Source organism: Homo sapiens, chromosome 10, assembly GCF_000001405.40.
Source record: "Homo sapiens chromosome 10, GRCh38.p14 Primary Assembly".
Taxonomy (NCBI): domain Eukaryota; kingdom Metazoa; phylum Chordata; class Mammalia; order Primates; family Hominidae; genus Homo; species Homo sapiens.
The window spans coordinates 42,468,071-42,496,052 of NC_000010.11; the positions used below are offsets into that span (position 1 = coordinate 42,468,071).

The 27,982-nt window shown below is 42.3% G+C and overlaps 1 long non-coding RNA gene and 1 pseudogene across 2 annotated transcripts in view; one reads left to right on the top strand and one right to left on the bottom strand.

The window, feature by feature from the left end:
• Positions 1–4,170, bottom strand: part of CCNYL2 (cyclin Y like 2 (pseudogene)) — a 64,067-nt pseudogene extending 59,897 nt beyond the window's left edge. Inside the window, exons 1-2 of the transcript NR_103829.1 lie at positions 3,735–4,170; positions 2,012–2,198 (exon numbers count right to left, since the gene is read on the bottom strand). The product of NR_103829.1 is annotated as a cyclin Y like 2 (pseudogene) (transcript). The remainder of the gene's footprint in view (positions 1–2,011; positions 2,199–3,734) is intronic.
• A 3,250-nt stretch (positions 4,171–7,420) lies between these two features.
• LINC00839 (long intergenic non-protein coding RNA 839) lies at positions 7,421–27,267 on the top strand. The gene is made up of 5 exons (NR_026827.1): positions 7,421–7,810; positions 9,191–9,372; positions 18,909–19,056; positions 24,010–24,272; positions 25,945–27,267. It is a non-coding gene; the product is annotated as a long intergenic non-protein coding RNA 839 (long non-coding RNA).
• The last annotated feature ends 715 nt before the right edge of the window (positions 27,268–27,982 follow it).

Sequence of the window (27,982 nt, forward strand, 5' to 3'; positions counted from 1 at the left end):
ATCCAGAATCATCTCATACATCTTCTGTCCAGACCTAAATTCAGGTATTTCTCCAAGGAACTCTGATCTCTTTTTATAAAAAAAATTGTTATTTCCAGAATACAGCCTGGATATGAGAAATGCTGCCTTACTAAGTTGGTCCTTGATTCGTGCCTTTTTCTGTGAATACATACAGGAGTGCTCCTTCCTTCTGGGTTCTCTTTTTTTTGAGAGTTAAAACATATCATGACATGAATCAAGTTAAATTATGCCTCTGAGTTTCAGTTTCCTTTTCAGACTATTTATTTTGATGATTACATGAGTTAGTACACAGAAAATGTACAGCAGTTTTTGTGATATACTTTAGGTGATCAGTAAATTCTCAGTGCAAAATGTGCAAAGGGTGAAGGGGGGAACTCCCATCAGTCCTACCTAACTGGATAGCAAGCTCCTTAAAGCCAGGATCGTAGTTCTAAACCTCTGTGTATCCACCATAACTCCTAGCACAATGCTTTGCATCAATCATGAGCTCAAGAAATTATTACTGATGACCAATAACCATCATATTAGCTGCATGAAAGTGCAATAACATATGCACTTTCAAACCAAATAACAAGAAGAAAATCTATAAATAGCAACCTGTATCAAATATTTCTGTGTATTGTTGTAGGTCTGTGAAACCACAACACACTGATATATTGAAAGACATAGACTAAATCCAGTCCTAAAGCAATTCGAAATTTCCACAATATAATTTAAATTCATTAAATTTTCAGATTTCTGAATTCATTCAAGTTCTAAAGTTATCATTCTGGGACAGTTCAATGTCTTTAAGCTTTTAATCTTCTCCATTCTAATTTCCTGCTATAAAATCAATAAAGTGTAGGTTGTAAAGAAAAAACAATCATGAATCCATGATGACTTGTCCTATCCAAATTGAGGACTATAAAGTAGTTGTTTATTACTTTGTAACTTCTATCTGTATCCCCTTTCTCCTATACTAAGAATCCTAGGTCCTCAATGACACCAGGAATGACAGAATTAAAGTATTATTTCTCCTCATCTCCTTCATCCTATAATACCGATCTACAAATTGAAGATGAACAATGCCAACAACAAACAGTTTTAGGGTCCTTGTTTGGCAATTCATTTTTTTCCTTAAGATGTATTTCCTTTTGGTTGTACAAATTGCAATGCTTTAAAGCGTCTTGAAACAGTTATTTTTGGTATGTTTAGAACCCTCAACTAGTGTTTTAAGACATATTTATGTTTAGGTATTTTATATTCATTTTTTATTTACTGTACTTTCATTTATTAAGATTTTATTATGAATAATATTAATATTGGCTGGATATGGTGGAATGATTCATTCAGATTGGTTGGGACTTTGGGTGCTCACTTCAGCAGCACATATACTAAAACTGGTTGGGACTTGGGCCATACCAGTGTTTAAGTATTTCTCTATCCCCCTGCCTTGATGGATCCTGCCCTGCCATGAAAAATTGACTAAAGTAAGTTTAATTCATTAAAATGTGATTTTAATATGCCTACTTCTCTTGAAAGACATTTGCCAAGGTTCTAAACTGAATTCTGGATAAAAACAGGTAATGAATTCTATTATCTGTTTAAGGAATGAATTCCTTGCATTCACAGAAGCAAGAATGGATGACAAAACTTTGTATCCTTCAAATGAAGATGAAGTGGCCAGGTGTGGTGGCTCACTCCTGTAATCCCAACACTTTGGGAGGCCAAGGTGGGCAGATCATCTGAGGTCAGGAGTTCGAGACCAGCCTGCCCAACATGGCGAAACCCCGTCTCTACTAAAAATACCCAAAAAATAGCTGGGCATGGCGGCAGCTGCCCAGCAACTCAGGAGGCTGTGGCAGGGAGAATTGCTTGAACCTGGGAGGCAGATGTGGCAGTGAGCTGAGATTGCGCCACTACACTCCAGTCTGGGCAATAGAGCAAGACTCCGTCTCAAAAAAAAAAAAAAAAAGATGAAGTATGCAGAGAAGAAAGAGCTTTCACTTACTTGCATGAAGTACTGAAGATGTGACCTCAATTTCACTTGCTGCTTGATCAGACTGAAAGGCTGAGACATTGTTGGTGCCAAGCTCACTAGCACTAGTAAATCTCTCCGGGCTCTGGGTATGCATGGAGCTGGCACTGATGTCATCACCTCCATGATGTAGATCTTGCTTATCAAACACTGCAACCAGCTAGAAATGAAACACAAATGTGCATTTATAAATAAAGACATTTAAATTACTACCAAAAATTTATACTACTTTAACATAAGTCTACAGTGGGAAAATACCCGAGTGACCCCAGAATGTTAAGTTTTAAGAAGCAAAACCTTGGCTGGGCGTGGTGGCTCATGCCTGTAATCCCAGCACTTTGGGAGGGCAAGGTGGGTGGATGACCTGAGGTCAGAAGTTCGAGACCAGCCCGGCCAACATGGTGAAATTCTGTCTCTACTAAAAATACAAAAATTAGCCAGGTGTGGTGGCACACGCCTGTAGTCCCAGCTACTCAGGGAAGCTGAGGCAGGAGAATTGCTTGAACCCAGGAGGCAGAGGTTGCAGTGAGTGGAGATCGCGCCAATGCACTCCAGTCTGGGCGACAGCATGAGACTCCATCTCAAAAAAAAAAAAAAAAGAAAAGAAAAGAAAAGAAAAAAAAGAAAAACCTTAAAAAGACAATGTTTCTGTTAATGTTGATGCTTTATTTCTACATTTCTGAAGTGAATATTTTATAGACAAAATTCTATGGCTGAAAAATAATGAAACTGTTTGCTATCACAGCATGCTAAGATGAAAGTAAGTTTAAATATGTTCTAAAATATAGGCTATATTGTTAAGTGGAAAGAAAAAATGCAAAACACAGAGCGAGAATGTGTATATATATATATATATATACACACACACACACACGTGGTATAAGCTACACTTCATATAATGAGAAGGGGATATTAAAAATTATACATGTTATCTGCACATTTGTGCATAAGATATCTAAAAAGGATAAAAAGGAACCTAATGAAATGGGAATCTAATAAAAGGAAATCTAATAATATGAGCATGCAGAAAGAGGTGGGGAAGAACATAACTAGCCTAAGTAACTTTGGAAAACTATTTTCATTGTTGAAAGCTAAAGACAAAAAAAAGTCCCACAAATACTATTTTCTAATTAGTAAATTTATTTCTCAACAAGCATACGGTTTCACAATTCTCAATCTACTATACACACACATACACACACACACACACACACACACACACACACCAGGAACAAACAAACAAGTTAACATATTTTGGAAAATAAAAGCCAATTTTCTCACTGTTAGAAGTTACAAAGAAGGAAAAGCTAGAATAAACTCAGTGGTGTTAGAGTGGAATCAAAGGCAACAGTAAGAACTCACAGTTTTTATAAGTAGGTAGGTAGGTACACAGTCAGATAGGTATAGACAAATGTCAATGCATGTGTGAGTACACCAACATAGAGTTCTTAGCTCTGTCAATGGAGAGATCCTAGAGTAAATGACATTCCAGTGCTAATGAGCACACCTAGTGCTCAGATCATGGTTTCTAGTACCATTCTCCAGTTAATGATGAACCAGGGCTCCCTAGAAATAGGGTTAATTTCAGGGCTGAGGTCAGAGAAGATGCATGATAAGCCTGGAACACTTTGTGATGCCAAAAATAAGGAAGAACTCAAAAATGATGAAGGCATATCAAAAGGAAACAGGTGCCAACCTGAAGGGGCTCTCAATGGCCAATGTTGAGTGTTGGGAGAAAAGCTGAGTGTTGGGAGAGAAGCTGAGGCAGGGCTTGGAACACGTCCAGGGTCTAGGATTAAAACCCCTCGTGGTCTTTGGAATGTGTCTAGACTTGCTGGCTCCTTGCTTCTAGCACTCCCTTTATCTCAAGTAGCCGTATGTTTCAAAGAAAATGCTAAACCGTCACAGCTGTAGCTCATTCACTTGATACACCGCTTCCTTTCAACCCCCACATCTTCACTGCCTGTTTCTTTGTTTGATCATCAATAAATAGTGTGGGATCCCAGAGCTCAGGGCCTTTGCAGCCTCCACACTAGCATTGGCTGCATGGTCCCACTTTCTCTTTTAACTTGTCTTTTCTCGTTCCTTTGACTCCGCCAGACTTAGTAGCCCCCATGGCCTGGTGTTGGGTCTGATCACTCCAACAGTTGAGACAACCTGAAAATAAAATAAATAATATTAGCATTGGATCATAATCCAAAGAATACACTAAACAGCCATGAGTCCATAATAATATAAATAATTGAATAAATAAGTGGTGTAGAAGCAACAGCTGTTTCCTACTAGAACATTCCAAATAAATGCAGAAGTAATGATGGAAAGAAATCATTAGGCAACCTCCACCGTAATAACTGCTATAGGTAAAAATCTACTCATGGGTCCTAGGACTAATGGGGGAGAATACAATATCAAACAGGATATTTGTATATCTCTAAATGTCTCCCCGTATGATACATTTCAGCTAAAAAGGGAAAAATATTTGGCAGCCCCCACTGTACCAAGATTAACATCACCAGTAATGGCAACATCACGTACCATCTGATAAAATGCCCTGAGAAGTATGTAACATTACTTCTGTGACATTCCTGCCACATGAATCGTATTTATTTCATAGACTGTACCTTCATTTGGGTTTGTCTGATGTTGCCTCATGATTAGATGGAAGGTTACTTCATGATGAAACATTCCACAAACCCAAATGGAAGTGCAGTCTACAAAATATTTACAAAATAAATATAATTCTTAAAAAGTATCAAGGCCATGAATACAAAAGAAATAATGAGAAAATTATGCAAACTGGAGGAGGCTGACGAAAAATGAGAACTACATGCAATGAGGACAGAAAATGGGTACTGGAGGGAGAATTCAGATGCGCTCTGAACATTAGTTGACTGTACTGACTCAGTATGAGTTTTTCACCTTTAATAATTGTTCTATGATTATGCTAAACATTAACATTAGGGATAGGTGAAGGGTATGCAGAAATACTGTTAATATTATTTCAATTTTTCTGAAGTATATAATTATTTCAAATTGAAACGTTTTAAAATAAAAATTGATTCTATTTCTTCTTATAACTAATACAGCTCTTAAAATGTTAGTACACTTATTAAAAATCCCATTGAGAATAAGGTCTAAGGATCAACAATGACTGTCACCTTGGGATATTCATCCTACAGCCCCATGCCTAGAGGAACTAACCTTAGGATTCTGATGAGAAAACCATGCCTGAAGCCAAAATCCACCCCTTTTCTGCCTCCAATCCAAGGACAGAAATATACATGTACAGAATTCAAATAGCACACATAATTACAATCCTCATTTTATAAATAGTTTTGTCACTTGGAACAAATGCTATTTCCATGAATATGTACATTTTACATATCATCAATCCATTTATGAAACAACAAAGAGGGTCATAGAGACATGTAAACAAACAAGAAGCTCAGAACCCTGCTGAGGTATAATATAAAAACACCTGATTAAATAATCTGGAAGGAGGGTAAATGGTATGAAGAAATCAAAACAGGATGAATAGTTGAGCCACTCAAAGTTACAGGGAGCAAACTAAGTGGGAAAATAAATCGTTAACAGTTACAAAAACTGGAAATGTGCTTGTATATATGAGACAAATTGTCCATAAAATCAACTTGTTTATCTGACATTGGCTGGCAAGGATCTCCCTGTACTAGTAACACAGACATTCAACTAGATTAGGAGTCATCCAGCAACTTTTCCTGAAAATGGCAAAACAGTAAACATGTTTGGAGCTGTGGTCCACATCATCTATTCCATATTCTACTCGACCTCTGCAGCATGAGAGCAGCCATAGACAACACATAAACAAGTAAACAGGGTTACGTTTAAACAAAACTTTAAGTATAAAAGCAGTACTGATAGGGTTTTTGCATATGTTACTTTAATTATGACTTTAATTGCTTAAAGTATTTCCTGGAAACACGAAGTTGTTAACAAGTGTTAGTTATTTTTGTTTGAGAGAATTTCAAGAGATTGAAATTATCAACAGAGGAATGTGAAAGTCGTTGGGCATTAAGCTAAGCCATAAAAACTTTACCCTGAAAATCGTGGGGGTGTCCTTGAATGCCCACGAGTTTAATTTCCATTTTCTGCCTGAGGTTTTAAGGAGTATGCAGGATTAGGAGGGTAAACACTCATAGCTCATTAGTCTAACAGTGAAGAAACCATGAGGGCCTAGAGTAATGGAAAGGCAATGAAGTGAAAAGACAGTTAAAATGTGTAATTTTCCAAATACAGAACTGAGATATTTAAAAGGATTGTATGTGGTGGTTGGGTGCCATTACAAAGGAGGTGGATGAATTTTAGGCGTCTAGATTTGTGGTGCTGATGGTTGGGCAGGGGACAAGCACACAGGGAAACAAGGAAAAAAGATGTATTTAGGTTTAGGTAAAAATATCACATGCTCAGTATCCAATTCCTGTTAAACACCTGGAGATGGGAGTCTGTGGTGCAAAGGGAGTTCGAGTTTAACTATACACGATTGGGTGATGCTGGCATGCAAGGAGAGATGAAGCCATGGATTTCATTAAGGACCCCAATCTGAATGTGGACCGCACACAAGAATCAGAACCAAAACCTGGACACAGCCAAGACTGCAGGTTTCTCTTCCCTTGCTCCAAATCCACTTTCAGAAGAATTAGAGAAGAATTGACTAAAGAATGTAAGTAAACTCCAGGAAACAGGGTTCCACAGAAGCTGGGGAAAGGTCAGTACGTGGAAGAGAGAGATCAGTAGTACCTGCTCGCTACAAGGAGGCGCCTCCAAATGTCAATGCCTATTTTCAACAAGTGGGACCCAAAGTGATTCATGCCAGTGCTCTAAAATACACCTGACCCTTGAACAATGTGGGGGATATGGATGCTAACCCCCCACAGTCAAAAATCCAAGTTTAACTCTCAACTCCCCCAAAGCATAACTCCTAACGGCCTGCGGTTGACCGGAAGTCTTTGTCACTAATAATACAAAAAATTAAGACCTATTTTGCCTGTTATTCACATTACACACTGAATATGCTGCTCCCAGCGGAGGCCGAGACTCCTGCCCGGGCACCCCCTCACAGCCCCCACTCCAGCCTCCCCAGACTCACCCTCGGCGGGGCCACCTTCTTCTCATTTCAGTCTGGGGCCACATTCTCCGGGCCTGCGGGGCATGGCAGGAGGCAAAGCCAAAGGCGAAGTGGCCACAAATTCCGGTGGGGGCGCTGGCTCCTGCCCCACCCCAGCATCTATACCCTGAGTCTGATAGGACGAGAAGGAACATTTCAGCCAGCCCTGATTGGGTCATATTATCCAATCAGAGTTGTTTTGCACAGTGGCTCTCATCCAATCCGAACATGCCTTACAGGATATCTAGTTAAATAAGTCATTATAAATAGTTGCTCCGTGGGCTTTCCGCATTTCACCCTGCTCCAGGCAGCGTGGTCTGTATGGCTCCGCCCTGGGCAGGAGGAGAAAGAAGAGGGCCAGGCACCACGTGCCTGCACTCTCCCTGGATGCTGGAGGCTGCTCCGCCGTGGGCAGGAGGAGAAGGAAGAGAACTGGGTGCCGCCTGCCTGCACTCTCTCCGGATGCTGGAGGCTGGAGGCAGTGAGGCAGCAACAGCGCGAGGGCGAGGCGACTTTGGAGCTGCCTCATGCAGCGACCTCGCCTTCCGCTGCGCCTCCTCCCAGAACCCAAGAAGCCTGGAACCTGTGGCGTCCAGCCCTGAAAGGAGGAGACGGCAACCCAGCCGCGCGTGAGTCCGGGAGTCTGGGATACCGGCGGCAGAGGAAGGACAGGCAGGAGTCTCGGCCTCTCGGGGAGCGACGTGCCGGGAAAGGCAGGAGGGCCCCAGCGGTGGGGGCGGGGGTTGCGCGCCGGGGAGGGCGGCCTCAGGCTGGGAGCCTGGCAGATCGTCTGACTCTCCCCGAGCCCCATCCCAGGCCGAGCCAGGACCCCTCTGATGCACAGGCGTCTCAGGAGCCCGTTTCTTTCTTGAATCCGGGGCCCAGTGCGGCTTGAACCTAGCCCCCGACCTCCTCCTCGCCCTCTCAGAGTCCGCTGGGGTGGGCGCTGAAGGAGCCCGGGTCGGAGAGGAGCCCTCCCCTTCTCTCCTGCGTGGAAGCCCTGCAGCCTCCGTTTCTTTTGGGACTGGGGTCCGGGGCCTTCTGCCTGACCCGGGGTGAGAAAGGGAGCCCTGATCAGGACCCGGTGAGAGGGCGCTGGAGCCCGGGAGCGGCAGGAGCCTTGAGCGGCAGCCCGGGAAGAGGATGGGGTCACCTTCTGCCCCAGGTCCCCCACTGCCAGGATCTCTGTCACCTTCTGGGGGTCCTGTCCCCTGGGGTCCCACCCCCCGGGCTGCCTGTGGGTATCTCTCATCTGGAACTGGAAATAACCCTCTTCATAGTACGGCTTAGCAAATATTTATTCGCCCATGCACCCCCCTTTTTTTTCCTTCATAGTGTTCTTTTTGTCTTGGATCATTTGTGTTTTTCCTACATTGATGTGAAGCATTTTTAAAGACACTTTAGAGATTAGTCCTTTATTGGTTCATTTCTATTGTAGGTTGTTGTTTCCTACTCTGGTCTTTGTTGTTTAATTTCAGTTTTAATTTCTTGCTTGGTTTAGTTCATGTAACAATATTTTTCTTAGAATATTTGTATCTGTGTTTGTGAAACAGAACATCTATTATTTCTGGGTTTTTTATTGTCTGATCAGATTGTGTATTAATGTAATGCTGGCTTCTCGAAACAAATTGAAAAACCATCCCTTTCGTCTTTCTCTTTGAGAGAGAGTGAGCAGTGTCAATATTTTTTTCTTCCTTAAATATTTGGAACATTTTCAAAGTCTGATCCTGGTGTTTTCCTTGTGGAGCATTATTGTTGATTTGTTGGATTTTTAAAATTAGTTAGTTAATTTTGTTTAATATATATAGGAGTGTTCTTATTTTATGCTATTTTTGTGCCAGTTTTAGTAAGTTGGGTTCAGCATCTGTTGCGATCTCTGTTGTCAGACTTTTGATCATATGTATTTCACAAAATTCTCTGATTATCTTGTTATAATACTGTTATGTAGAGTTGTTGTTTTGATTCTGATACTGGTCACTTGTGTTCTTTCATCTTTTTTCCTTAATCAGTTTTGCCTGCACTCTCCCTGGATGCTGGAGGCTGGAGGCAGTGACGCAGCAACAGCGCGAGGCGACTTTGGAGCGGCCTCATATAGCGACCTCGCCTTCCGCTGCGCGTCCTCCCAGAGCCCAAGAAGCCCGGAACCTGTGGCATCCATCTCTGAAAGGAGAAGACGGCAACCCAGCCGAGGGTGAGTCCGGGAGTCTGGGGTGCCGGCAGCGGAGGAAGGACAAGCAGGAGTCTCGGCCTCCCGGGGAGAATTTCACAAAATTCTCTGATTATCTTGTTATAATACTGTTACGTAGGCTGTTGTTTTGATTCTGATACTGGTCTCTTGTGTTCTTTAATCTTTTTTCCTTAATCAGTTTTGCTAGTGGTTTATTAACTATGTTGTTTATAAAAACAACTTTTAGCCTTGGTTTATTTGTGTTATGTTTTTTTTTCCATTTCATTGATGTTTGTTATCTTTATTATTGCCTTCATCCTGTATTCTTTGCACTTGATTTTTCTTTCTTGATTCTTGAGAAAAAAGTTGAGGTGCCGGGCACGTTGGCTTACGCCTGTAATCCCAACACTTTGGGATGCCAAGGTGGGTGGTCAGGAGTTCCAGACCAGCCTGGCCAACATAGTGAAACCCCCATCTATACTAAAAATACAAAAATTAGCAGGGCGTGGTGGCAGACACCTGTAATCCCAGCTACTCGGGAGGCTGAGGCATGAGAATCGCTTGAACCTGGGAGGTAGAGGTTGCAGTGAGCCGAGATCGCCCCATTGCACTCCAGCCTGGGCAACCGAACAAAACTTCTTCTCAAGAAAAAAAAAAGAAGTTGAGGTGATTGATTTTCAGTGTTTCTGGACTCCTGCCCTGCAGAGATCCTCTTGCTGTAACCTGTTTCATGTGAGGTAGAGTTTAGAAAATATTTATTGGCCTCTGTGCCTTACTTTTCTTCATATACTCTTCTTATTTTGTTGATTTATCTTTAGGGATTTTTTTCCTTATGTTAAATTGAAGGACTTATTGTTAAAATCTGTAAGTTAGCCCTTTATTGGCTTATTTTTGTCATAGGTTCTTGTTCTCTAGTTTGATTTTTGTTGTTTCATTTCTTTGTGTTCATAGTTGTATATAGTAATCTGGTTGATAATGATCTTGTATGCAGTAGCTTTGCTTAATTTATTTATTAATTGTAACACTTTATGTCATGTTAGGCTGTGCTGAGTGCTTCTGGGAGCAGCCAGGTTTCCATGAACTCCCAGTTTACTCTAAATACTCTAGCAGCCCACATGTGCACACACTGGATAATGGTCATGCATGTAGAGCAATGATGCTGGGGAGGCACCGACTCTGTCATTCTGTGAATCCACCGCACAATCACAAACATTAGCATTAAAATAAAATGGACTGTTAGGCAACTGCAAAGGACTAATGCACCTATGTGGCACAAATGTGTCTTTCCGTATTCAAAGTACTTGTAAGAGCTTCAAGTTCCTCATACTCAGCCACTGACCTCAGGGTTCTTGGTACACAGGCATACATGTGCAGACACACATACAGGCACACATATACACATGAATGCACATATGTGCACACATATTTACAGGCACATGCAGATGTGCACACACAGACCTGGGTGAGAAAGTCAGATGTACATGGAACAGCCCCTGCTTTGTAAGCTGTCTGGCTTTGTAGGGAGAAAGAGGTGAAACAACACACTTGTTATCTTGGAAGAGGAGATGAAGGGAGCTGAGCTGGATATGTCCAGTGGGGAGAAAGCCAGGAGCCACTCCACCGAAAATCGAGGTCTCCACATGGATGATACCCACAAAACATTGGCAGGAAGGACACAGCCAGCACCACATCAGTGGTGACTTTCATGAGTGTCAACTGTGGCCATCCAAATTAAAGGCCTGGCAATGGGATAAGTTAGCAACTGAACTTTCTGTATGTTACCTTATTAACTTTCTGTATATTAGCTTATTAACTTTCTGCAATCAAATGCTGATTAAGCATTTTCTGAGCCAAAAGCTTTGTGTAATTTGAATCTAGTGAAAAAATGTTATGCGTTTAACACTATAACTTGAGATCTAAAAACAAAAAAACAATTGCATAAGAATTGGTCAGATACCTTGTCTTTGAAACATACTGAAGTCTTCAAAATTAATCTGATAGCTCTGCAGTTGGTATGTGGCATAAGAAAATATTTGGCATGAAGGGGAGTAACACACCACATGAATTCATTCATTATGAAGAAATTCATTATGAATATATGTGGGCAAATTATTAACAACCCTCCCAAAAGCAGAAAGCTCAGACTCAGGAAGATCCATTTAAATGGAGTGATTTGGGAGATGATTTCAAGCGCAACTCTGCATTGACTCAGCATTTATTAAGTCATACAGCAGGCTACTGGAGGCCTCACTGCAGCCTGGGCTGGTATTCAGTGTCCTCCTCCTTCCTTCTCAGTAGACTTCCTTGGCCTTGATAATAATACGTGTTAACAAACACAAATCTCAAAATACACATAATGTTTCTTCCCCCACAAGCCAGGGTATCAGCTCTGCAAATCAGATGACCCCAAGGTCAGTGGGGTTGACCAGGGACACCATTCTGCATTCCTCCTCAGCTTCCAGATCCTGAGGAGCTCTGGGGCCTTCCTTCTGGACAGGGAACATGTCTGCCTGGCTTCCTCAGCCAGGTACGGGAGGCTTTGGGGACCTGTGTCTGTCTCTGGGAAGGAGGAAGGAGCCTGTGGCATCTTCCTTAAGCAAAAGCACATCCAGCCCATGGCCAAACTTCAGAGTGGGGCGAGGGGCCCAGCACAGCTCCTCCGTTCCTGCAGCAGAGCCCAGAAAACACATCTGATGTTGTGGCTGCCTCAAACCTACAAACACCATGGGTTTGAAGTGTCCTGTTGACATGGCCATGGCCACTTTCCCCGTGGACCGTGGCAAGTTTTTGTTTTTGGTTTTTGTTGTTTGTTTGAGACAAGGTCTCACTTTGTGGCCCAGGCTAGAGTGCAGTGGTGCAAACTCGGCTCATTACAGCCTCCACCTCCTGGGCTCAAGCAATCCTTCCACCTCAGCCTCCCAAAGTGCTAGAATTCCGGGCTTGAGCCACCGTGCCAGGCCTTGTGTAGAAGTATTATACATTATCTTTAAAATGTAGTTTAGTGCTAATAATCTAAAATTGTGTTGCCATTTACTATTAATATGCCCTTTGTGGTGCATCTAATAAAATGCTTTGCTTCATAACCTGAAACAAAAAAACTTTCACTATATTTACTTGATCAGATCAACAACTATAGAAGTCTTAGAATAATGATATTCTTACTCAAAAGAAAAGCAACAACTCATCTTTAATGAAACTGTTTCTGTGTTTTATTAGTGGTTGAGAAATAACACATTCCTTCAGCAGTGGCAGCAGTCAGATACCATATGAATTTTTTATTTTTTTTTACTTTGATAAATCCTGAGGCTCTGTTGAGGAAGAAGCTTCCACAGTAGGCCCTAGGAGAGCTGCAGCCACCATGTCCACACTGTGTTATGCACAAATGGGAATGTAGTTTCCCAGAGAAAACAACTTCTGTGGGTAGATTTGTGATCGAAGTTTGTGAATAGCTTTAAAAAATCCTTATGAAGGCCAGGCACAGTGGCTCACGCCTGTAATCTCAGCACTTTGGGAGGCTGAGGCAGGCAGATCACCTGAGGTCAGTTCGAGACCAGCTTGACCAACATGGAGAAACCCCATCTCTACTAAAAATACAAAAATTAACCAGGCATAGTGGCACATGCCTGGAATCCCAGCTACTTGGGAGGCAGAGGCAGGAGAATTGCTTGAACCTGGGAGGCAGAGGTTGCAGTGAGCTGAGATCGCACCATTGCACACAAGCCTGGGCAACAACAGCGAAACTCTATCTTAAAAAAAAAAAAGAAAAGAAAAGAAAAAAAAAGGCTGGGCATGATGACTCATGCCTGTAATCCCAGCACTTTGGGAGGCTGAAGCGAGCAGATCACCTGAGGTTGGGAGTTCAAGACCAGCCTGATCAATGTGGAGAAACCCCGTCTCCACTAAAAATACAAACAATTAGTTGGGCGTCGTGGCACATGCCTGTAATCCCAGCTACTCAGGAGGCTGAGGCATGAGAATCGCTTGAATCTGGCAGGCGGAAGTTGCGGTGAGCCAAGATCGCGTTACTGCGCTCCAGCCTGGGCAACAAAAGTGAAACTCCATCTCAAAAAAAAAAAAAAAAAATCCTCAGGAAGATTATTTACTTATAATCTCCTCCTTCCTTAATTAGCAGTCTCAGCATTTCTGCAATAACCAAGTCTCAGCATCCAGTGAAGCAGCCTGCAACATGCGGGAGCTCAGGGCATTGCCACTGCACATGGGGCACCTGGTGGGACTTTGGCAAGGATTTTGTCATTAACACTGAGCAAAACTCTACGAAGACAGAGGCATTCTTTTAGATTAAAAACTAACAACATAAGGCGGGACATGGTGGCTCACACTTGTAATCCCAACACTTCGGGAGGTCAAGGGGGACAGATCACTTGAGCTGAGGAGCTCAACACCATCCTGGACAACATGGCGAAACCCGTCTCTACTAAAAATACAAAAATTAGCTGAGCGTCATGGTGCACACCTATAATCCCAGCTATTCAGGAGGCTGAGGTGGGAGAATCGCTTGAACCCAAGAGCAGAGGTAGCAGTGAGCTGAGATTGTGCCACCACACTCCAGCCTGGGCAACAGAGTGAGACGCTTACAGAAAATCTTTAATTTCTATAGAAAATCTTCAGTCTTCTATAGAAGAAAATTAAATATTACAAAATTGAAGATTAGAAAATTACATAGAGAGCCGGGCATGGTGGCTCACACCTGTATTCCCAGCACTTTGGGAGGCCAGGGTGGGTGGATCACCCAAGGTCAGGCGTTCGTGACCAGCCTGGCCAACATGGTGAAGCCCCGTCTCTATTAAAAATACAAAAAATTAGCCAGGTGTAGTGGCGGGTGCCTGTAATCCCAGCTACTCAGGAGACTGAGGCAGGAGAATCACTTGAACCCAGGATGCGGAGGTTGCAGAGAGCAGAGATTGCGCCACTGCACTCCAGGCTGGGTGACAAGAGCTAAACTCTATCTCAAAATTAGAGAGAAAGAGAGAGAGAGACAGAGAGAAAGAAAAGAAAAGAAAAAGAGAGAAAGAAAAGAAAAAAGAAAAGAATGATTGATTCCATAGAGAAACAGGTATTTATCAATCTTCTTGATTCTGGTGCTCATCACAAGGCTGCAAGTTACTCAGTTCCACCGTCTTTTGCATCTGTGGTTGTGGTTGAAAGGAATGGCCTGAATCATGCACCTCATAACTCACAGAGTGGCCCCATGCCTTCCAGTTTTCTTTTTTTTTCACTGAGGTTCTGAATTACCCATGTAGTTTAAGGAGTTTTGTTGTTCTTCACAATTCTGTCTGTGGCTAATCTTATGTCCATGGGATTCATTTGAGTCTGGAACATGTCCCAGATGGCAAGATGCAGCATGCCATGATATTTTCAAAATCCATGAACATGGTTGTTTGGCAGTTCCACAGTAAATATGTATTTGGAGCCTTAAGCTATTTCTTTCATGATATATGCTCAGGTACTGATAGCGACACTGTTGAATTCTACTTGAGCCCTGAGGCACTGGGAAACTGTGATGGTTAAAGAAATCCCCACCTTGTGTTCCTGCCTTACCGCAAAGAATTCCCCTTCCCCGTTGACTTAGCTAAGACTCACGGATCCCCCTCAAAGGATGTCCCACCTATGACAAGGTCAGACACAGACCCCCCCAAATGCTGTCCTTGTTTCATGAAAGTTTAGCTGAACTGCTTGTCCCCACAGATTCATCAGGATATAATGCTAATTAACTCAGCTTTGATATGGGCTTTACCATGTCCTTCAGGACCTGCTTATTAGTTAGAGACCCCTTGGACTGCATAACTTCTTCAAAGACATTTTATTTTATGCTTAATCATATAGAAATATAATGATTTGATAGATTAACCAATGTGGTTTTCCTCCCTTGTTCTCCAGTTTCCCACTATTTCTCTCCCATTTAGTCTAAACCTTGGCATCTCCTCTTTCAAAGGGGAAGTTTTAACAAAAGGACAAAGAGAAAGAAAAGAGTAGACACTCACATTTTGAATTTTAATAAACTTGGAAGAATGATGACACAAGAGTGAGTTTGTCCCATCCCAGAGCAGATGAGGAGCTTCTGAATGAGAGTGGGGGAAGGGATTGTGCTGTTGACACTCGATGGCAATTACACTGATGCAGACAGGGACCTTGAGTGGTGGGGGGCTGAGAGTGCTGAGTGCACCTCCCCGGGCAGACAAGAAGAAACTTGCAAGTGCAGGCACAAGATGAGGAATCACAGTGAAACTTACCACAACATTCAGCCTCTATTCAGGAGATACTTCACAACACTTGCCAGGTACTTTTCTAGGCACTGGACATACCGCAAATAATAAAGCCATAAAAAAAAATATGTCCCTGTGGAACTTGCAATTTTGTGCAGAAGAGCAAATAGTTCACTAAAGAACTAAGCACAACTGGCCATGCATGGTGGCTCACACCTGTAATCCCAGCACTTAGGGAGGCTGAATTGGGTGAATCATGAGGTCAGTAGATCAAGACCATCCTGGCTACCATGGTGAAACCCCGTCTCTACTAAAAAATACAAAAAAATTAGCTGGGCGTGGTGGCGGGCACATGTAGTCCCAGCTACTCAGGAGGCTGAGGCAGGAGAACGGCGTGAATCTGGGAGGCAGAGCTTGCAGTGAGCCGAGATCACAATACTGCACTCCAGCCTGGGCGACAGAGTGAGACTTCGTCCAAAAAAAAAAAAAAAAAAATAGAAAAGCACAACCATACAATGTGGGAAGGTGTCAAAAGTTATGGAACAAAATGAAGGAAAGGGGATAGGGACTGCTGAGGGGTGGGCTACAATCTGAATTGGGGGTTAGGAGGGGATGGAGTGAGAATGTTCTATTTGATCACAGCCTTGATTCATGTGAGAGATCCTGGAGGAGAAAGTGGGCAAAAGCCGCCCAAGTGGCTGTAGCAGGCTGGGTGCTGCATTACATAGGGCACATTAAGTGAAATGTGATGGCTATTTTGTGTAATCCTTTAAAATCCCAATAGAAATAGGACTTTGTGGGAGGACTACATTTTGAAATAATTATTTTCAAAAATAGTTATTTCAAAAAAAGCACAGCAGTTGCATCCTATTGAATAGTGGGAACACTGGATGATAAGTTAAAGTATCATTTTGTGTTAAAATATTGAAGCAAATATGGCTTGGTGTGGTGGCTCACACCTGTAATCCCAGCACTTTGGGAGGCCAAGGAGGGTGGATCACTTGAGGTCAGGAGTTCGAGATCAGCCTGGCCAATAGGGTGGAATCCCGTCTCTACTAAAAGTACAAAAATTAGCCAGTTTTGTTGGTGAGTGCCTGTAATCCAAGCTACTGAGGAGGCTGAGGCAAGAGAATTGCTTGAACCCAGGCGGCAGAGGCTGCAGTGAGCTGGGATTGTGCCATTGCACTCCAGCCTGGGTGACAGAGCAAGACTCCATTAAAAAAAATAATAATAATATTAAAGCTACCCATTAAAAAAATTTGAAAGTCCCAGAAATGTGGCAAGACAAACAACCCTATTAATGGCCCTAATGAAGCCCTATAGATTTCTCAGAGGATCCTCCATGTGTTAGAACCATACCTAGGGCTGCAGCTGGCTAAGACATTCTCCATCAGCCTCTGGGATCAAAGGCGGGGTGTGGAGGTTGTCTGGATGGGACCATGAGCCTCCCTCTCAGTAAAACACAAGCACAAGGGCGACATCCCTCTTGGTTTTTCGTAATGTAGGAACACAGGCAGAGCTTAGTGTTCTCAGAGCCTCTGAGATCCCGGGCAAAGCGTTTGGTAAGATGCTGCAGATATTTCCTTCTAAAAATAAAAACTCCCTTGGTAAATGCTCAGGCATCTCAATGGCCACACCAGCCCTCATATGTGTACCCAACTCCCTTCATTTGCCTCTGTTCCCACTGAAATTTTCCATGTGAAATCTGGGAAGGGATGGGACAGCTTGCATAACTTAGTTGATGACTCTCCCACAATCTTATAGACTTCACTAATCTTTGAGGCTCTTCACTGACTCATGTGACAAAGTCACTTAATTCTGTAAATTTGGGCCAGTTCATTTTGCTAGCTCTCAGTTTGCTCATCTGTATGCAAGAAGTTTAGTGTAGGTAAACCAAGGACGCCAATATGCCTGTCTCTCCAGAAGGTCAATAACAGAAAATCTGAGCTGGGGGGTGCAGTTCCAAGTCCCAATTCCATGCCTCAAAGATCAGCTGGTTGTCTTTATTCATCACCAGGCACACATCTCCTTGATACTCTCAATATCTAGGCATAAAATGTGACAAGACAGATTATCTCTGTGTTATTTTTTTCTCCATTCCTCATCACTTGTATTTCCTTAACTCATTGAAATCAGTTTTCCACATTTTTTGAAGGAGAGTCTTTTGGCAAAGATGTGAATTATCTACAAGCAGCTGAGAGAAATGGCTACTGCCCTCAGTGTGCTGGTTATAAGTTTCCAAGTGATGAATAAAAGATTTCCTAAGGCATCAGTTTCCGTGATGGTGTGTTCTTTTTTTTCTCTTGGGCACAAGGGAATGAGCAGAGCAGGTACACCTCTGGGTTTGTTTTGTTTGTTTTTAGCTTATGTACAAAATCAAGCTCTGTTTTTCATTGAAATATCTTTTTTTCTTGTATCAGAGAAGAGTTGTAAAAGACTCATTGTGGGTTCAGGGAAGAATGTTTTAACATGCAAGGAAATGTTGCAAAATTGGAAAGAGGACATAATTCCACAAAACTAAATACAACTGGGGGAATTTTTAGGATACTCTGAGTTAATCTTATTATTTGCATCCTGCTAACCCCAATCAAATAATAATTTAGAATTGTTTAATTTACTAAACTGCACATTCAATTGACTAAACTGTAGAGGATGAGCAAGTGTCAACAATAATTACCCTCCTTATGGGCTAACACAACAGGCTCCAGTGAGTCATAATACACACATTCAGAGGTGGTCCAATGCAGTCCCACCATAGAAATCCTTCCCATGCTTAGCCACTGTTGTCATTAATCTCTCCAAACTCAAACCATGGTTCAAACACAGTTGTCCCTTGGTATCCAGAGGATTGGTTCCAGGACCCACTTTGGACACCCAAATCTGCTGGGAACAGGCCCTAAGCCTGTCATAAACAGGCCTTAAAGAAACTGGCCATAAACAGGATTTCTGCAGTAATGTGACGTGCTCATGATGGCTATGACACACACTGCTAGAAGATATTGGTTTATTGGAGCAGGGCAAGGAACACCTGGCCTACCCAGAGTGGAAAACTGCTCAAACCACAAACAACAGCATGAGCGGCCTGTTCCATAACAACATGTTTTTGCTGCAGATGATCATCCAGGGACTGTTTCTCTGCTCCTCACTAAGAATGTTTGTTTCCTGTAAAGAATGCTTTTAGCTAATCTATAACCTATAGAAACAATGCTTATCACTGGCTTATTGTCAATAAATATGTGGGTCAAACTCTGTTCGTGGCTCTCAGCTCTGAAGGCTGTTATCCCCCTGATTCCCACTTTGCACTTTATTTCTGTGTGTTTGTCTTCATTCCTCTAGCACTACTGGGTTGGGGTCTCCACGACCGAGCTGGTCTCATCAAGTGGCGTCCAACAAGGGGCTCAAACCCGGGTTGAGGGGTTGCTGGAGCGACGGAGAACGTGGAACTACACTGGAGGACACCAGAGTACTCTTAAGCAATCCCTTGGTAAGTAAGACGGGGAGCTTGGAAGCATCAGGGTAACAATGGGACAAGGGTCGAGCAGGCATGAGTCTTATTTGAGTCTGTTTTGGCAGCTCCTCAGAAAAGGGGGAAGGAAGGTTAGTACTAGCCGACTTATGCAGCTTTGTAGTGTGGTAGAGAAATATTGCCCCTGGTTTCTGGACCAAGGAACTATGAATATAGAGATCTGGGAAAAGGTAGCCAGAGCACTGAAAAAGGCATATAGGGATGGTGCTGAGGATATTCCTATAAATATCTGGTCAGTGTGGGCTCTGGTTCATCCCACCTTGGAGCCTTTCCACACAGATCATGATGAGGAGGAATCAGAGGAAGAAGGAGAGTATAATGAAGTAACAAAAGAGGTGACAGAGCAGTTTTGCTTGCCAGCTAAAGCAGCAAAGGAGGGAGGTTTGTCCCTCCCCCTCTGTACCCCCTCATCATTTTGAAGAAAAAGAGTGGCCTGACCCTCCGAATCTTTCTTTTCTGGAGGACGCTGGGCGAAAAGTAGTTGCCTCAGTGACTGTTCAAGCAGCACCTCAAGCGACCACTCTCAGTTCTATTCAGGCATGGATCCAGCAAGCTGGATGAGAGGGTGATATGGATGCTTGGCAGTTCCCTGTTAGAATACACCCACCTGATCAACAGGGGAATATTATAGCTATGTTTGAGGCTTTTCCTTTTAAAATACTTAAATAATTTAAACATGCTATTAATCAATATGGACCAGGTTCTCCTTTTGTAATGGGACTGTTAAGGAATGTTGCTGTCTCTAGTCAGATGATTCCTACTGACTGGGATGCTTTTACTCGAGCTAGTCTGACTCTGGCTCAGTTCTTACAATTTAAAACTTGGTGGGCAGATGAAGCTTCCATTCAGTCTGCTCGCAACACCAAGGCCCAACCTCAAATTAATATAACTGCAGACCAACTTTTGGGGGTTTGTGGCTGGGCTTGTTTAGATAGATGCACAAGTGGCCATGCAGGATGATGCCATAGAGCAGCTTAGAGGAGTGTGCATTAGAGGTTGGGAAAAAAATCACTTCAGGAGGAGAACAATACCCTTCTTTTAGTGCTGTCAAGCAGGGGCCTAAAGAACCTTATGCAGATTTTATAGCCAGGTTACAGAAATCTCTTAAAAAGGTAATTACAGATTCGCCTGCTAAGGATATAGTGTTTTGGTTATTAGCTTTCGACAATGCCAATCCTGAGTGCCAAGCTGCTCTGTGACCTATTAGAGGAAAAGCACATTTGGTTGACTATATTAAAGCTTGTGATGGTATCGTAGGTAATCTGCATAAAGCTACTCTGCTGGCCCAGGCAATGGCAAGAATGAGAGTGGGCAAAGGAAATACTCCATTTCCTGGAGTTTGTTGTGGGAAGCATGGTCATACTAAGAAAGAATGTAGAAAAAAATCAGTGAGTCAGACTGCCAGTTGGGGGAAAATAGAAAACTGCTGAGCCTGAAATATGTCGAAAATGCAAAAAACGAAAACACTGGGCTAATCAGTGTCAGTCTAAGTTTGAGACAGATGGGAACCTGATTTTGGGAAATGCCATGAGGTGCCTGTCCCAGGCCCCATTCCAAACCAGGGAATTTCCAGCTCAGGCCACTCCCTCACCCCGTACAATGCCTGTCCCCCGCCACAGCCAGTAGTGCCACAGTAGATTTATGCTGCACAAAAGCTGTGAGCCTTCTGCATGGGGAACCCCCACAAAAAGTGCCAACAGGAGTCTGTGGACCCTTGCCAGCAGGGACGGTAGGATTACTTCTAGGTAGTTCTAGTTTAAATTTAAAAGGAGTGCAAGTACATACAGGAGTCATTAATTCAGGTTACAATGGGGAAATACAAATTGTTATATCTACTTCTGTTCTCTGGAAAGCAGAGCCAGGAGAGCATATAGCACAGCTCCTGGTTGTGCTGTATGTGGAAGTGGGGAAAAGTGAAACTAAATGTACAGGAGGATTTTGAAGCACAAATAAATAAACCAAAGCAGCTTATTGGGTGAATCAAATTACTGGTAAACATCCTACCTGTGAAATAACTATTCAGGGCAAAAAATTTAAAGGATTGTTAGATACACGATCAGACATTTCAATCATTTCTCTACAGCACTGGCCGTCTACATGGCCAATTCAACCCACTCGATTTAACACAGTTGAAGTTGGTAAAGCCTCTGAAGTATATCAAAGCAGTGATATTTTGCATCATGAAGGACTCGATGGACAATCTGGGACTATTCAACCAATTGTAACTTCTGTACCTGTAAATTTATGGGGAAGAGATTTATTACAGCAATGGGGAGCACAAATGTTAATTCCAGAACAATTATATAGCTCTCAGAGTCAGCATATGATGCAAGAGATGGTGTATGTGCCTGGCATGGGATTAAGAAAAAATTTACAAGGGTTAAAGAAACCCCTTCAAGTGAAAGGACAGAATTCTCATCAGAGTTAGGATATCATTTTTGATGGAGGCCATTGTTAAGCCTCCAGAACCTATGCCTTTAAAATGGTTAACAGATAAGCCAGCTTGGTTAGAAAAATGGCCTCTGAGTAAAGAAAAACTGGAGGCTTTAGAGGACTTAGTTACTGAACAATTAGAAAAAGGACACATAGTTCCAACATTTTCCCCCTGGAATTCTCCAGTCCTTGTTATTAAGAAAAAATCACATAAATGGAGAATGTTGGCAGATCTTAGAGCCGTTAATTCAGTTATACAACCTACTGGGGCATTGCAGCCCAGGTTGCCTTCTCCTGCTATGATTCCAAAAAATTGGCCTTTAATAGTCATAGATTTAAAAGACTGTTTCATTACTAACTCCTTAGCTGAGCAAGACTGTGAATGGTTTGCATTTATAATTCCTGCAGTAAACAACACGCAGCCTGCTAAGCATTTTCACTGGAAAGTGTTGCCACAAGGCATGTTAAACAGTCCAACAATTTGTCAGACTTATGTAGGACAAGCAATTGAACTTACTCATAAAAGATTTGTCACAGTGTTAAATTATTCATTATATGGACAATATTCTTTGTGCTGCCCCCACTCGGGAAATATTACTCCAATGTTATGATCACTTGCAAAACCCGATTTCTCCTGCCAGTTTAATTGTAGCTCCTGACAAAATTCAGACTACTACTCCTTACTTCTACTTAGGGACCTTAGTAAATGACACTACCATTGTGCCACAGAAAGTAACCATACGTAGGCCTCAATTGAAAACTTTGAGTGACTTTCAAAAATTACTAGGGGACATTAATTGGACACGACCTGCTCTAGGCATTCCTATCTATGCCATGAGTAATCTATTTTCTATCCTTACAGGAAATCCTAGTCTCACTAGCCCTCAGCAATTAACAACAGAGACTGAGGCAGAGATACAGCTGATTGAGAAGCAAGTGCATAAGGCTCAAATAAATAGAATAGATCCAGAAAAGACTTTAGACTTATTGATTTTTCCAACTCAGCATTCACCTACTGGTGGTGTTGTCCAAGAGCAGGACTTGGTAGAATGGCTTTTTCTTCCACATAGTAATTCATGGACTCTAACTCCTTATTTAGATCAAATTGCTACTCTGATAGGAAATGGGAGAACTCAAATTGTTAAATTGCATGGATATGACCCTGGAAAAATTATTGTCCCTCTTACAAAGGCACAAATACAACAGGCCTTTATAAATACTCTTAATTGGCAAACCCATTTAGCTGATTTCATGGGTGTTCTTCATAATCACTTTCCGAAAACAAAGTTATTTCAATTTTTGAAATTAACTAATTGGATTCTCCCTAGAATAACTAAATTTAAACCAATTGAATGTTCTGAAAATGTTTTTACAGGTAGGTCTAGTAATGGTAAAGCTTCTTATTCCAGATCAAAAAATAAAGTTTTCCAGACATCCTATACTTCAGCTCAAAAAGCGGAGCTTGTAGCTGTAATTGAGGTGCTGACTGCTTTTGAGATGCCTGTCAATGTAATTTCTGATTCTGCATACATGGCTCATTCCACACAATTAATTGAAATGCTCAGTTATGATTTCATACAGATGAACAACTGATGACTTTATTTACCCAGTTACAAACTGCAGTTAGGAATATAATGCACCCTTTTTACATTACTCATATTAGAGCTTATACACCCCTTCCAGGACCTTTAACTACAGGGAATCCAGTGGCTAACCACTTAGTTGCCACGGCATTATCTAATGCTAAACACTTTCACACTTTGACTCATGTAAATGCCTCTGGTCTTACACAAAGATATAATATTACTTGGAAAGAGGCTAAAGCCATTATTCAACAATGCCCAACCTGTCAAATGATTCATTCTCTGTCCTTTACTGGGGGTGTTAACCCCTGTGGATTGCAACCAAACTGTCTTTGACAAATGGATGTCACTCATGTTCCTTCTTTTAGTAAATTGGCCTATGTGCATGTATGTGTAGGTAACAATTTCTCACTTTGTTTGGCCTATCTGTCAAATGGGAATCTTCTGCCTGTGTTAAATTGCATCTTCTGCAATGCTTCACAGTCATGGGTATTCCAGCTTTGGTTAAAATGGACAATGCCCCAGGATATACTAGTCAAACTATGGCTACATTTTTCTGTCAATGGAATATTAAACATATCACTGGCATCCCGTATAATTCACAAGGACAAGCCATTGTGAAATGAATGAATATCTCCCTAAAATGACAATTGAATAAACAGAAAGAGGGAGACAATGACTACGGGACTCCACATATGCAATTGAATCTAGCATTATTGTCTTTAAATTTTTTGAGCCTGCCTAAAGGCCAGATGCAATCAGCAGCTGAACAGCATCTACAGAAACCGGCTGCAGACAGAAGCAGAGCAACTGGTTTGGTGGAGAGATCCGATAACAGAAAGTTGGGAAATAGGTAAAAATAACATGGGTAGAGGTTATGCTTGTGTTTCTCCAGGCCAAAACCAGCAACTGATTTGGATACCATCAAGACACCTGAAATCTTGTCATGAGCCAGATACTGAGGAAGAGATTTTGGGAAGAACCCAAGGACCCCCCAGTTGCAGCCATGTCAAGACTGACAATAAGGAAGACATCAGTCCCAGCAAGCAACATTCATCGGGCACAGCCACCCATGTGGGGCCAGATCAAGAAGTTGACACAGATGGCGGAAGAAAATCTGAAGAAAGCGGATGACCAGCTACAATGAGTAATCTAATGGTAGCTATGATGGCTGTGCTCACCATTGCCATGAGTATTCCCCCAGCACCTGCTGAAACAAAAAACATTATACTTATTGGGCATATATTCCTTTTCCACCAGTTTCATGGCCAGTGACATGGTTAGACCCCCCAGTGGAGGTATACACTAATGATAGCTTTTGGATACCTGGTTCTACAGATGATAGAGGCCCATCTCACCCCCAAAAGGAGGGAACAATTATGAATATTTCGTTGGGATTTGAGCATTTAACTACTTGCTTGGGAAAAGCCAACAGGTGCTTACCTCCCAGTCATCAATCTTGGCTGGCAATAGTGCCTGAAGGTAACATCTCTGTGGCACAATTACATATGCTTTCTGACCTTAGTATTTATTACAATGATTATGCCCCTGTAACCAAAGTTTACCGCCCTCAAAAACCTATCTGTATAGTGGATTGAACATGTTCAGAAAAAAATGAAGATATTTACTTGGGAAGATTGTATTGCAGGGCAAGCAAAGGTGTTGTGTAATGATTCATATGGAGTCACTATTGATTGGTCCCCTAAAGGGGCATTTATAAGGCTCACTTCTCAATCTGTAGGTAATGGTCACCCTGCATCTAAAGAAAATGATCAGATGGTAGACACTATAAAAAATACAACAAAAGTTCCTATTATTTGGACATATGGTGATATGGTGGAACCTCGACCCCAAATGATACGACCTGCTGTAGGAGCTAAACATAAGGAATTGTGGAAAATATTAATGGCACTGAAAAAGATAAAAGATTTGGGAAGGGAAATATACTAAGCCATCCCAATATAATCCTAATTACATGTTAGAATTGGCTCACAATGATTCAGTCTGGATACATAGTTGTGTCTGTCCTCCCTTTCTGCTTGTAGTGAGTGATTTAAAACTTGATCTCCCTAATCATCATGTGACTGTCAAGAATGTAGATTGTTTTCTTGTGTGAATTCTTCCTTGTATAATACTGATCATTCTATCTTAGTGGTAAGAGCCCGAGAAGGAGTATGGATACCTGTAAAGCTTTCCCGTCCTTGAGAAGCCTCTCCTTCTGTGCATATTATTACTGAAATTCTTCAAAAGATTTTGAGGCACTCTCAGGGTTTCATTGCTACTTTAATCATTATGGGATTGATTGCTGTCACAGCTACTGCCACGGTAGCTGGAGTTGCTTTACCAACACAGTACAAACAGCAGATTATGTAAATAATTGGCAGAAAAATTCTACTTTGCTGTGGAATTCCCAAACTAATATACACCAGAAATTAACCAATCAGATTAATGATCTCCGACAAACTATCGTATGGTTGGGAGATCATGTAGTTAGTTTAAAATATAGAATGCAGTTAACAATGTGATTGAAATACTTCTGATTTTTGCATTACTCCTCACCTGTATAATGAAACAGAGCATGAGTGGGAAAGAGTTAAGAGACATTTAAAGGATCATACTGGAAATTTATCTTTGGATATTGCAAAACTGAAGGAACACATATTTCAAGCCTCTCAGGCACATCTGACATTAATGACAGGAACTAAAGTGCTTGAAGGAGCTGCAGATGGATTAGCAGCTATTCACCCATACAAGTGGATCAAGACACTTGGAGACTTTGTGATTTCAATGATGATTGTGCCTTTAATCTGTATTGTTTGTCTTTGTGTAGTCTGCAGATGTGGATCCCGAATCCTGCGAGAAGTAGCCCACCATGACGAAGCTGCCTTTGCTTTTATCGCTTTGCAAAAACAGAAAAGGGGACATGCTGGGAACAGGCCCTAAGCCTGTCATAAACAGGCCTTAAACTGACCATGAACAGGATTTCTGCACGAATGTGACGTGCTCCTGATGGCTATGACGCCCACTGCTAGAAGTTGTTAGTTTACTGGAGCAGGGTAGGGAACACCTGGCCCACCCGGAGCGGAAAACTGCTCAAACCACAAACAACAGCATGAGTGGCCTGAGCCTTAACAACATGTTTTTGCTGCAGATAATCGGCCAGAGACTGTTTCTCTACTCCTCTCTAAGTATGCTTTGTTTTTCGTAAGGAATGCTTTTAGCTAATCTGTAACCTATAGAAACAATGCTTATCACTGGCTTGCTGTCAATAAACATGTGGGTCAAACTCTGTTTGTGGCTCTCAGCTCTCAAGGCTGTTTTCCCCCTGATTCCCACTTTGCACTTTATTTCTGTGTGTTTGTCTTCATTCCTCTAGCACCACTGGGTTGGGGTCTCCTTGACCAAGCTGGTCTCGGCACATATGCATGTATGCCCAGGTCCTGAAATCAGCCTTGTGGAGCCTGTGGGTAGGAAAAGTCAACCCTCTGTGCATGTAGGCCTGGAACCTGACCAATACTGTATTTTCCTACCACGTTTGGTTTCAAATGTGGAAACTGCCCATACGGACCTACTGCATTTGTTTTTAAAAATCCTCTGTAAGTGGACCTGCACAGTTCAGGCCCAGATTGTTCCAGGATCAACCCTACAGTAGAAATCAAGTATCTTTTTCATTGTCTCTTGGGATCTGCCTTTTCACCAATAAAATATGAGGGCTGTTGGGAGCAGGCCCCCCCAAATCTGGCCATAAACTGTCCCCAAAACTGGCCATAAACAAAATCTCTGCAGCACTATAACATGTTCATAATGGCCATAACGCCCAAGTTGGAAGGTTGTGGATTTACAGGAATGAGGGCAAGGAACACCTGGCCTGCCCAGGGTGGAAAACCACTTAAAGGCATTCTTAAGCCACAAACAATAGCATGAGTGATCTGTGCCTTAAGAACATGCTCCTGCTGCAGTTAACTAGCCCAACATATTCCTTTAATTCAGTCCATCCCTTCGTTTCCCATAAGGGATACTTTTAGTTAATTTAATATCTATAGAAAGAATGCTAATGACTGGTTTGCTGTTAATAAATACGTGGGTAAATCTCTGTTTGGGGCTCTCAACTCTGAAGGCTGTGAGACCCCTGATTTCCCACTTGACACCTCTATATTTCTGTGTGTGTGTCTTTAATTCCTCTAGCACTGCTGGGTTAGGGTCTCCCTGACCGAGCTGGTCTCAGCAAGTGGAGTCCATTGTGGGGGCTCAAATCCAGGTTGAAGGGTCACCGGAGCAACATTTGGAAAGGAAAACTAGCTGAAGGACATGTGAATACTCTTAAAGCAATCTCCTTGGTGAGTAAGAAGGGGCGCTCGGAAGCGTCAGGGTAACAATGGGACACGTTTGGGGTCTGGTTTGTTTCACCTTGGAACTTTTTCACACGGATGATGAGGAGGAAGGAGAGTTTAATGAAGTAACAGAAGAGAGTACAGAGCACATTTATTTACCAGCTAAAGCTAAAGCAGCAAAGGAGGGAGAGATTCATCCTTACCCTTCTGCACCCCCTCATGATTATTTTGAAGAAAATGACTTTCAAGATCTTTCTTTTCCAGAGGACACTGGGCGAAAAGTAGTTGCCCCAGTGACTGTTTGAGCAGCACCTCAAGCGACTGCTCTTAGTTCTATTCACGCAGGAATTCAGCAAGCTAGATGAGAGGGTGATTTAGAGGCTTGGCAGTTCCCTGTTAGAATACACCACCCCCAGATCAACAGGGAAATATTATAGCTACATTTGAGCCTTTTCCTTTTAAATTACTCAAAGAATTTAAACAAGCTATAAATCAGTATGGACCAGGTTCTCCTTTTGTAATGGGACTGTTAAAGAA